The 12,788-nt window shown below is 36.8% G+C and overlaps 1 protein-coding gene across 35 annotated transcripts in view; it reads left to right on the forward strand.

The window, feature by feature from the left end:
* Window positions 1-12,788, forward strand: part of CNTN4 (contactin 4) — a 959,094-nt gene that overhangs the window by 400,696 nt on the left and 545,610 nt on the right. For 2 of the 35 annotated variants that reach the window (XM_011533430.3, XM_017005787.2), the window contains exon 1: window positions 12,042-12,465. The exons of 31 other annotated variants lie outside the window; for them this stretch is intronic. The gene's annotated coding sequence lies outside the window, so the exon portion shown is untranslated. Of the gene's footprint in view, window positions 1-12,041; window positions 12,466-12,788 lie in introns of those variants that run through there. 2 more of the 35 variants (XM_011533428.3, XM_017005786.2) reach the window with 1 other exon arrangement.

A 12,788-nucleotide genomic window follows, 5' to 3' on the forward strand; every position in this document is an offset into this window, starting at 1 on the left:
TCTGGGTTCCCTACTTGTATTCATTGATCTATGTGTCTGTCTCTCTGCCAGTATCACACTGTCATGATTAAGGTAGCTATATGTTTAAGCCTTATTACTGGGTAAATTGATTTCTCTCATATTCTTCTTTTTTATCTAGATTGCTTTATTCTAGGGTGCTTATCTTTCTATATAAATTTTAAAGTAAGTTTTAAAATGTCTACTAAAACCTTACAGGGAGTTTGATAAGAATTTTATTAAGCCCATATATTTCTTTGGGGAAAATTGACATCTTTTTTACATTGACCCTTCCAGTTCATGAACCTGGTATGTCTCTCTGTTTACTTAGTTCTTCTTTTATTTCTTCCATTGTCATTTAGTTATTTTCAATATGCAGATCCCATGCAAGTTTTGTGAATTTTGTACTGAAGTATTTCATTTCCTTTGGAATGATTTTAAATGGTATTATGTTTTTAATTTTGCCTTTTAATATCCATTTTTAATGTATACAAATACAATAGATTCTTGTGTGTTTATCTTATGTCAACATCCTACAGTATCTTGCAATATTGCTGAACTCAACCTTTAAATTTTTAAGGTTTATGAATATTGGACTTTAAAAGTTTTATATTAATTAGTATTTTTATCTTCCCCTGAATAATACCAGGAGTTTAAAATGCTAACTTGAATCACCTTCTTTCTGAGGCCCATTAATTGCAGCCTAGTATTTTAGATTTGCCTTCTTTTCACCCTTAAAAATCCTTATTATAAGTGTTCTTTTTGTTGCTTTTTTAGTCAGTAATTGTGTAGATTTCTCAAAGTGTTATTTTAGCTTCTAAGATCATCATTCTTTAATTAACGTTTACCCAGATAAAAGTATAAAATTATATTTTGACACTTATTTTTTCTTAAGTGTTTGAAAATAGTATTATTCCATTGTGTTCTTGCCCCTCCTTTCTAATGAGAATTCTGCATACAATCTAATTGTTATTTCTTTGTAAATACTTGCTTTTTGTTTCTGGTTGCTTTTTAAGATTTTTCTCTCCATCTTGGGTATCCACTGGTACACTAATATGATTGGTTACTTTAGGCTTTGTTTTTATTAAACCTTTTCAATGTTCAGTATGTTTCTTTTTTTTCTGAAGACAACTTTTGATATAATTCATTCTTAAACAGAATCTATTTGATATTTAATTGTCCTTTGAGTTTTTTTCTTAATTTTTTCTATTGAAGTATAAATTCCACATACTGAAATACATAGTCATTAAGTGTGCAGGCTAATGAGTCTTTGCAAATGAACATTTACCTGTGCAAGCATCGTATTTGTCAAGATAAGGAACATTTTCTTCCCTGCAGAAAGTTCCTCATGTCCCACTTTTTCAAGTCCTCTTTTTTCCCCCCCGCACAATGTATAGATTGTTAAAATTGTACTCTCTGCTCTTAGATTTTTATAATGAATTTAAATATGTATTTTATATCTTTCAGGTTCTTCCATTATTTTTAGGTTTTTGCATGCCAGTTAATACTTGAAACTTCTGTTTGCTCCTGATGATGGTTGTCATTGCATGGTGTATTTTTAGCAGATTTTTTTGTTAACTGTGGGAGACCCATATGCTCAGGAGGATAGACATGTCCCTATATAGAAAGTCCATTCATTTTTGTGAGGTTTCAAATGGATTTGTAGGAGTTTGTCTAGTTTTTGTGTTAACATTTCAATTCCGGATTACTAGACCACCACTAGGAAGTGTAAATTTGGGCTTTATATCTGTTCAGATTGAAGTTACATTTGTTAACAGATTTTACCCTCTGTATCCATTTTCTATTGCTGTTGTAACAAATTATTAATATCACAAATTTCATGGCTTAAAACAATACAAAGTTGTTCTCTGACTATTCTGCAGGCCAGAAGTCTAAAGTGAGCCTATAGGGCTGAGTTCCTTCAGGAGGTTCTAGGGGAAAATTGTTTTCTTACCTTTATCAACTTCTAGAGGCCACCTGCATTCCACAGCTTGTGGCCTGTTCATATAAAAAGCTAGCAGTGTACCATCTTCAAATGTCACTCCCCACCCTCACTTCCGTTGTCATATTACCTTCTGTACCTGTGTATTTGATCCTCTCATATCCCTCTCATAAGGACCCCTGTGATTATATTGGGCCCACCCATATAATCTAGGATAACATCCCATGTTAAGATCTTTCAGTTAAATCAATCTTTAAAGTCCCTTTCACTGTGTAAAGTACAGGCGGAGCATTCCCAAATCCTCCCAAATCTGAAACTTTTTGAGCCTCGACATAACACCTAGATTCCACCATTTAAGCAACCACGCATTGTCCACATGGGTGCATGAGATCCTGACACCTTTGCTTTCTGATGGTTCAGTGTACACAAACTTCATTTCATGCAGAAAATTATTTAAAATATTGCATGGAATTACCTTCAGACTTTGTGTATAAAGTACATATAAAACAAAAATTAATTTCCTATTTATACGTGGATCCAATCTCTAAGATATCCCATTATGTATATGCAAATATTCCAAAATCCAAAAATTTTTGAAATTTGAAACACCTCTGGCCCCAAGCATTTTGGATAACAGATACTCAATGTATAATATATTCATAGATTCTGGGGATTAGGACTTGAACATTTAGTGGGGAGCATTATTTAGCCTCCAAGGCCTCCTTTCTCCAAATTTTAGAGATACTCCACTTCTTTAACACTTCATGTGCTAAGGGTGGAGTTTTACTATCCACGTGTCTCATGGTGCATTCCTCTAGTATCCCAGTTTTAAACCAGGGTTTTAAAGTTTTTGCTTCATGTCTCATCTGTCTCTGCAGTATATTCAAATTCACTTGCAGCCCCCAGAGGTACTTTCTTGCACAATTCCAGGAAGTACATTTACATTAGATAGTACATGAATGGCACCTCCTACAGTTGTGTAGCCTGACACTAGAGCCAGCAATCAGGGCTCCTGTCTCTATGCCTTCCATCCACCATCAGTGGATGGAACCTTACTACTCTGGCTTAGCACTTTTGTTTTTCAAGCTCAGCTGTAAACATGTGAACAGGTGTTCACACATAATTTTGTTATTTTTCTTTCCTTTTGTTTAACCAGCATTTTCGTGGCTGTAAAGAGAGAAGGCTTAGTCCACCATATTGTTGGAACTTTACCTTCATTTTACAGAGGAAGAAAGGGCTTTCCATATGAGTGAACTGACTTATCTGAGGACACGACTAATAAATTACCGAATCACAGCTAGAACTTTGGTGTCCTGACTCTGACACAAAAGTTCTTTTATAAATCTTAGTAACAGTGCTTTTATTATGATTATTCCTGTTATCACTGATACTCATTACTAACTTCCCAAATTACACAAGAACCTGATGAAAACTATACTGTTGTATGTCCTTGTGAACCGCAACACATATACAATAAAAATTCATTTATTACTGAAACATTTTTGGAGATATATCATTAAGCTAGGTGATAGGTATACAAAACTGAATGAGACATGATATCTGCCATCAGGGTGTCATAGTCTAATAGAAGAAATAGGTGCATAAACAGATAGTTACAATGCATTGTGCCCAAGTATCATTTGAACTCAAGATATAGTTAAGCTGTTGGGGAAAGTGGGATTGATTAGATGGGGAGGAGAGAGAATGGGTTCAGGATGTTTAATCTTCAAATAGTTATTACCAGATAGATGGCTGGATAGGATTGAGGGATGCATAGATGGATAGTTATATGACAAAGCAGGCATAGTAAGATATTAGTTGTAGAATCTAGAAAGGAGATACACAGTTGCTCACTGTATCAGTCTTTCAACGTTTGTCTATGTTCGAAAATTTTATAATAAATGGTTGGGGAAGTATCGTCTTCATCTTTATTATAGCTATCATTCATTGAGTGCTTAGTGTGCCAGGCGTCTTTAAGAGCTTTACATGATTTAGCTCATTTAATTCCCATATCATCTGCAAGATAAGTACTATCATTATCCCCATTTTACAGAAAGTTGGGCATAGAGAAGTTAAGTAACTTGTTCAGGCTCACACAGTTAGTAAGTGGACAACCCATGATACCAGGCTGTCTGACTCTAGAATTTTCACTCTTAACTTTGACAGAGCTATCTCTAAAAGATTGAGAGGATTTTTTTTTAATAAAGTGGGTAGGGATGAGGAAGCATTACAGGCAAAGGAGAGAATATATTTACATAGATAGGAAAAATAGCATGGATTTTTCAAGGCAAACATAATCCTGGGTGGTGAATGGAATATAAAGCATAAATCATTGAGCAAAGGAGGTTACTGGGGGGTTGGGAGGACTCTGTAAGAACTGGCCATATTTGGCTTTACCAGGTAGCTGAGAGGGATCCACTGAAGGATTTTTAATAGGAGGACTGTGTGTTTAGATCTCTATTTTGAAATGGGAGCTCTGATGTCAGTGTGGAGAATGGATTTCAACTAAAGCTTTTCTTTTTTTTTTTATTTCCAGGTGAAAAATGCTAGAACAAAATAGAACAGTTTAGAGATCAATAAATGGTACAAGTAAAGTGTCTGGAAGGAGCTCTCTGCTTCCTTAATAGAGAGTGCATTCTGCAGAAGTTGAAAGTGACCCTAATCTGAGAAGTGTAGTATTTTTAGCACTAGTAGATATGAAGAGGGATGTCTCGTTTTCAGTTTAAGGCATTATTAAGAAGAAGACTGATTTCCAGGTTTATCCTGACAATTTCCCTCTTCCTTTCAAGAAGAAGTGAAGTTCACATTTTTCTACCATCTTCATGTTTTCTGGATCATATAGCTTTTGTGAATAGGTTGATTAGTTGATATCGGCTTCTGTTTCTGAGAAAACTTCAGAAGCCTAGTATTTCCTCAATGGCATCTGTTGCCACCACTTCTCATTTTGTGTGAGAGGGTTGAGTGAGTGGGTGGGACCCTTTAAGAAAATAAATTGAGAGATGAGTTAATTATACAGATTATCAATATACGGGTATTTTCTAACCATTCTTATAACAAATGACTCAATCCGCATTCCTCAATGTATGCTAAAACTACTGAGTGAAATGCTATTGGAGAAAACTATATGTAATCTCAAAGTTGCTTCCAAATATTATTGACAAGTTACAAAAGTAAAATAATACCTTTACATTTAAATAACAGAGAAATATTGTGATCAAACAACAACAGGACAAATTGACCATACCTTCCTCCTCTATGTAGTATTCTTCAAAACATTTGAATTAATCACAAAAAAGCAACCAGAAAAATTCAAATTGAATTACATTCTGTAAAATAATGGGGATAGGCTCTTTAAAAATGTCAATGTAATAAGAGACAATAAAAGGTTGGGGGACTGTTCTCTATAAAAGGAAGGTATGACCACAAAAAGCACTGTGTGATCCTTGATTAGATCTTGGGTCACAGAAACAGGAAACAAACAAAAAGAAGAACCCACCCAGCTATAAAGGATGTTATTGGATCGATTTGGAAAATTTGAGTATAGACCATGTGGTAAATAGTAGTTTTGTGGCATTGCTGCATTTCTTGAATTGGTTCATTGTATTGTGGTTGTGGAGATGAATGTTGTGGTCTTTCTGGAGAAGCTTTATTTGGTGTATTCTTAGGAGAATTATTTACTGACAAAGTGTCATGATGTCTGCTATTTTCACTCAAATGACTTTCTAAAAATGAGTATGACAGAGAGAGAAGGAAGGAGGGAAGATCGGAGGCAGAGAGTAAAAACAGAAAGCAGACATCAGAATGTTTATATTGGTTCTAGGTCAAAGGCATATGTGTATTCATTGTGCCATCTTTTCAACTTTTGTGTAAGTTTGAAATTTTTAAAAAAATATTGAGGGGAAATGGGAATTCAGATGATCAAGTTCAAATGGAATGTTCTATAGTCCTATCCAAACTTAATTACATTTTATGTGTTATTTTAGACCAATCCTGCCCAACAGTTTCAAAGTTTATACATTTGCTTTATTTTTATACCAGCCTGTTGTGAATTTGCAAACTGTTTAAAAATTGCAAAGACCTACATAAATATATCCCTTAGCATAAGGGTGGCCATGCACTTTAAAATTACATATGATTATGTGGCTGTGTCACCAAGATTACATTAATTTCATATTCTCAGAATTAAAGGTTGATTTCCCTATATTTGACATTTGCTTGCAATGTTACTACATCATATAGATAAAAGAAGGTAGAAAGGTGTGAATTTAGGCAGAGGTTTCCCTGAAAAGAGCTTTTAAAATATCTACTTAAAGAGAAACTTGAACTCTGCTTTACGCTCTGATTTACGTGTGTTCTAAAATTAAGCCTTTCCTCTGTATCTGGGAATCAGTTGGGGAGAAAACATTAAACCATTTTCTGAAAGCATGGAGGAAGAAAAGCAGGCATCTTATTCCTCTTTTCACTCCATAAAATATATATAAGGACAGGTTTTGCCCATTTTAAACAGACACTCGCTTTTTTTTTTCTAATGTAACACTATGGTAATCTTAACAAATATAGAACATTTTAGATTTAGCTTTGTTTCTGCCGGTTTTCCTCATGTGGACGCCTTCCTTCTCATTTTGTTCCATCTGCACCGGATCTAAGGAGAGACACTTTCCCTTTAAGAAACAAAGGTTAGCTGTGACTCCTGTCATGTAAAAGCCTAAAGAAGGCTTTTCATAGTTGATGGAAGTGATGCCAAAGAATAAAATGAAAAGCCTCTGCTATCTACCTAGCGCCTACACGCCCTGGAGCCGACAAAAGAGCTCAGTACCAGAGCCGAAGAGTCCGTGGAGCACCACGTTAGTGAAAAAGCCGATTATAAATAATAATGACCTTAGTGGATGCTGAGAACTGCACTAAAGTTTTTCTGAGCCAGACAGAATGATGTAGGGGATACCATATAAATGCATAGAAGTCTATAAGGGAAGAAGATGCTGAGAGATTCAATTTCTTCCTCCAATAATTTAAATTGATGGTGAGTTAGTAGGTGCTCAATAAATATTTGTTGAATGAGTAAACAAAAGCAGTCTAACAACGGATTTCCTAATGAAAGTTCATGAATTGAAGCATGTTTGCATTGCATCCCAACTCTGTATTAAAACTGTATCTATTTCAGGAGTAAGATCAGAATCCTGATAGAGGAACATGCAAAATGTTGCCCATCTATTTAGGGACAATCATAGAGATAGAAAGAAAAAAGATATTTGGAAGTACATGGAGCTCACTTTGCCTATGAGTTGTGTGCATTTCGAGGTGGGAGACGGGAGAGGGAGTGCAAGAGAGGCTGGAATGAGATTTTTTTTTGTAGTGATACTTGGTTTTCTGAGGCATAATCTAGTGAGGAGAGAGGGCCTTGACGTTTTTATTTAGCGATCATGCCTCCAGTCATGTGTTCTGAGGCTCATGTTCGGTTTTGCATTGATAGACTTGGAATTATAGGACATTCTTGGCTTTTGAACTAGCTCATTGTGCTGAATGTGGTAATTTTTGTGAAAGCATACTGAAACGTCTAAAATAACTTCCAAGGCAAAACAGTTTAGTACAGCTACTGCAGCTATATGTAGAGCACCAACATTTATACTTAGTCGGGTTTTAATCTCAGCACTCAGTTCTTCGGTATTCCAACTATAAGAACCCCATCATGCTTCCCTTGGGCCAGGGTATCTTAAACATATTGAGGTTAACATATTGAGCCAGATAATTCGTTGCTGTGGGGGGCTGTCCTGTGCTTGGTAGGATGATAACAGCCAGTAGCACCCCTACCCCAAGTGGTAACAACCAAAAATCAGGGTTTTTTTTAAACTGTCTTTGTTGGAAGGAAAATCAGAATCTTCTGAGGAAAAGGATTTTTGTTCTCTTCTTGGATGTTAAGAAAATTGGCTTGTGTTGGCTGGGTGCGGTGGCTCATGACTGTAATCCCAGCACTCTGGTAGGCCCGATCACTCTGGGAGGTGATCTTGTGGGCAGATCACAAGATCAGGAGTTCAAGACCAACCTGGCCAACATAGTGAAACCCCGTCTCTACTAAAAATACAAAAAATTAGCCAGGCATAGTGGCAGGCGCCTGTAATCCCAGCTACTCGGGAGGCTGAGGCAGGAGAATCACTTGAACCCAGGAGGCGGAGGTTGCAGTGAGCCGAGATTGCACCACTGCACTCCAGTCTGGGCCACAGTGAGAGACTTTGTCTCAAAAAAAAAAAAAAAAGAAAGAAAGAAAAAAGAAAATTGGCTTTTTTTTTTTAGCCATTAAAATAAGGATAAGTCAGTTCTCCCCCAAAAATTAAATGAGAAGTAACACTCATAAAACAATTTGTTCTCTCTCTCTTTTCTTCTCCCTCTCCACACACACACCCCCTCAAATTTTTTGCTAATAGTGACTACAAATTTCTGAGCAGTTAGTGGTAGATGAATATCAAGGCATATTGCACCCTTTTATCTAGCTCATAGGTCAATTTGATGTCACATTGACATAATTATTTAAATGGGCTATTTTCTCCACAGACTGTTTTAATTTCATGACCCTGGTCTCTGGGTCATTGTTATTAGAATCTGATTATCTCATGGAAAATTAATATGGCCACATATTTTCTTATGTGCGTCCATACTTTTGGCTTACTTCTTGAATATTTTATTACTGGCTCCATTGCTTTTGGTTGGAAAAGAAGGTTCAATCATTGCTGCATAGATTATCATTCCAGTAGGTGCCCTGGGCAGCAATTTCTGAACCATCCCTTTTGAAATTTTGTTCCCAGCTGGAGAAATGTCACAGTTGTCTCAGCTTTTGACTCTGACTTTTAGTGAGAGATGCAAGGAATAGGAAAACACTTTCAAGAAGAAGCAATGAGCAGTTGTATGCACATCTGGTGACTTATTGCTGAAGATTCTAAAGCATTTAAAAATATTGATTAAGCCTCAAACTGTTGGGAAATTGTTCCCATAACTTTCATTCTGCCCCTAGATTTGCTGAGGTTTTGAGCTGTATTTAGCTTGGTGAATCTTGTGTAATGGCCAGAAAGAGACCTCAGGAGCCCCATCCCCCAGGTTCTTATTAGCCTTGACAAGAGTGTTGTTAAAATTGCAGACTCTTCACAGTTCCAAAGAGATGCCGTTTCTTGCTGTTTCAATACCAAGTCTAAAACAATCTCTGTATACATTTTGGCTTCTAAAATATATTCTGAGGTAAAATAGCAGGTTCTACTGTCTTTGAGAAGACCATTTCTTTTGTTTGTGGTAACTAGTCATGTTGGTCTCTTTTTTCCTTCTCTTTGTTATATTTATTTGGACTTTAATGTTGGCTATGCCCTTTAATGAAAAAAAATCAGGCATTTCCCAGATTTAGATTTTTATTATAAACACTTCATATTTTAAGTGGTATATCTCTAGGGAGAAATGTATGAAGAATTGATGGAAGTTGGAAATTTTTTAGTTAGTAATTAACACCTACCATTAAAAACAAGTGCAAATCACATGATGGCAAAGTGAATCTATTACATATCATAATCAAAGATTAATCAAAGTAATTACCAGGCAAACAGGGATTGAATAGAACTTAAAACCAATTAAACTATTTCGGCTGTACCACTGAATAAACACTTTGGTATTTTAATTTCTCCTCTCTTCATTTGCTTCAGCAATATGTTTGCTAATATGACTGAGGTGCACAATTGCTATTTAATTAACCTATTTTTGTCAGAACCTCACACGAGCTGCGTGGAGTAGATCTGCTAAAGTCTCAATAATAATGAGCCTGATAAAAAATAACCAACATGAAATTCGTGCCAGTCATTTTACAAGTTATGCCAAATGTAATAATATCTGAAGAAAAAAAGAAACTGGTTACCTTACAGAAATTGGATTGAAAGTACTTAAAAAACATGTTGAACCAACACAAAATTACTCAAAAGTTTAGTAAAATTTCAAAAATGTATAATTGCCTTGTTTCTTTGTACCCCACTTTGCATATCATTACCATTAACTATTGGTAATAAATCTATTCGAGGGCATGGATCTGTTTTGGGGATACTTGAGTTGATAATGGGCACAGAAGGGTTTGGTAGTGGACATCTTTTACCCAATCATGTATCCTTTGGGAGAGAATACTTTTCTAGCTATTGAGTAAGGCATCACGAAAGTGTTGATCCATTTTGCTTTTATTCCCTAAGACAATCAAAACGCTAACACAGTTTGGGTGGTCTTGGCCTCAATGATACACATTTTTTCACAAAAGATAACATAACTAACCATGTGAAGAAAGCCTCACCTTTCTCTACCTTTGGATAGTAGGGATGAAAGAAAGTAAGATGGAGAAATCCACATTAAATATAAAGACTCTTTCCCCACAAAATCCCAGAGCTCTTCTGATTGGCACCATGAAGACAAAACATTCTGATTGGATTTTTGGTTCTTCACCCAGGTGTTTTACTATCAGGTAGACACAGTTTGTGTACAACTAAATAAGACCATTTCCTGCCCAAGCTGTCTTTTTTCCCCACACATTTAAAATTTACTCACACTTACTGAGCATGATGTTTCAAGTTTTCTGAAACAGCTGGTTAGTAGCCAGTTGATCACTGGCCCCTAAAGGTAACAAAGACCCTCCATCCCCAAATTTTTGCCAGTCAAAAAAGCATGACTTTATTTCACTCCCGTCACCCCAGTGCTATTACGAGGTGTAAGCACCTTTCTAGTGAAGGTCTATTTTCTAGATCTTAGGACAAGAATAGAATGTCACATTGTAAGCGTTCTCAGAGGTCTGCAGCAAAGCCCTTATTGTACAGAAAAGAAAACTAAGACTCACAAAGGTGTAGATCACCTGTTTGTTTGTTTGGGGTTTTTTTTTGTTGTTTATTTGTTTGTTTTTGCAGCAAGATGAGGATTAGAACTCAGATTTCTGACTCCCTCAATGTTCTCCCTTCTTTATCATACAGGCTCCTTAACTACTGGCTGCTTTGCGTGTGGTGGACTTTAAATGATCACACGGGTGCCTTAATCACAGCCTTTTTATGAGTGACACAGGCGCTGAGTCTCCCTTTTTCTAAAATGGAATGTTTTATATCCATAACCCAGACTTGCTTAACTAAGGTCAAATTTACATAAACAAATGTCTTCCGGGGCCAGCAGGTAGCATGTCTGGGCAAAAGCGTGTGTGGCAAGGTTTTGATAAAGCGCAGAACACATGTTCTGTTTAAAAATGTTCACATTCAGATTCTCAAATCTCTCTCTTGCCAGACCAAGCATGTCCACAGGCTACTGGTTTATAACCCCTGACTGCATCACGATGCAGACAGAGTAAGGAGGAGTGTTCTTACAGTTATGCAAATGGAATCCATATCACCAGTTCCTTTTAGAATACTAGATGTCCCAAGTGTGCCATGCCAAACCCTTTTGCTTTGAATGCCCTGGACTTCTAGTATTCAATGAAGAGGCACGACTTGGGGAACATGAAACACCCCCATAAACACCAGCTTTAGTTCAGCCAGTGTCCCCAAAGACTGACTCTGAAAAGAACATACACGTGTATGTCGCATAAAATCCGTAGAAGAGATGATGCTGCTACCCACAACCTTCTTGGGAGCTGCTGAGAATCCCTAACAGACAAACCGAATCATAGGGCAAACCCACCCTATGTACCAAACAACCAGTGTAATTATATTCTGTAGTTGAGGAATTACATAAATTGCCCATTGGGAAAGAAGCCTTAATCTCCATCCCTCCCCCGAAATCTATCAACAGCTGTGTGAGCCTCTGTGTATTTTTGAAAGGTTGAACACATTTGATCGGAGAACAAACTTGATTTCCTAATCAGGTTCGATGCGAGGAGAGCCAGTTAGAGATGTGTGTGATTCTCCCAGTGTGCGTCTTTGATTCGTGTGCTAATTATGTCGATCCTTTGGGGAACACAGCCAGGAAGCTGGGTCCTCCTTGATGAATGCTGGCGGAGAGCCATGCAGCGCGCAGCGGAGAGCAGTTCAGCATCTCTAGTCCCAGCTGAGAATATGGTCCCATTATCTCCCAGCTGCCTAAGCAATCCATAAGGGCCTGTTCTGCGTGGATGATCAGTGTAGTGGAAGCAGGGACTTGCTGAGAGCTGAAATCTCTGTTTGATTTGCTGTAACATGTAAAGCGAAACTGGGACATTTTACTTTACAGTCTGTAAGTACCAGGTTTTACCCCCCTCTTTCTCCCTACAGCTCCATGTGAATGTGACTTTGCAAGCTGCATTTGATTTTCTGTTCCATTGCTCTTTGTTGAATCAAGCTGGTGAGGTAGAGTGTGATCTGTTTAGAGCTTGCTGTTTCTGTTAAATCTCTTATATAATTGATTCATACAAGGAAATAGGAGCCTTTCAGAATGCTTTTATAGAAATTAGAAATTATTGGCTTTGTTTTTAATTTGGGAGTGTGGTTGCATTATCTTTGGTGCCAGGATGATTAGAGCATATATTTATCTTCTTCTGTACCTCTGGCCATTGCAAGAAAAATGTAAGTAAAACTAATATATATATAAAGAGATAATCTTTATATGCATGCCTGTATAAAAGAAGTGCCTGTATTTCCAGAATTTAAATTTAACATAGTTTATTTTGCTGTTCTCTGCTGCTACTAAGAAAGGCAGAAACAGAAAAGTTTCTCTTGTTTTTCAGTTGCATGCTGTTTAGAAACTTTGCCATGGAGGTGGGCAGGATAACTGTTTGGAATATTTGCAAATATAAACTGTATATCTCCTTTTTTATGAGACAGTACATAAAATAAGAGTCTGTGTTTAGCCCCTTATTGCTTTTGAATGCACCACTTCTTAAGAAGTA

This window comes from Homo sapiens, chromosome 3, assembly GCF_000001405.40.
Source record: "Homo sapiens chromosome 3, GRCh38.p14 Primary Assembly".
NCBI lineage: Eukaryota > Metazoa > Chordata > Mammalia > Primates > Hominidae > Homo > Homo sapiens.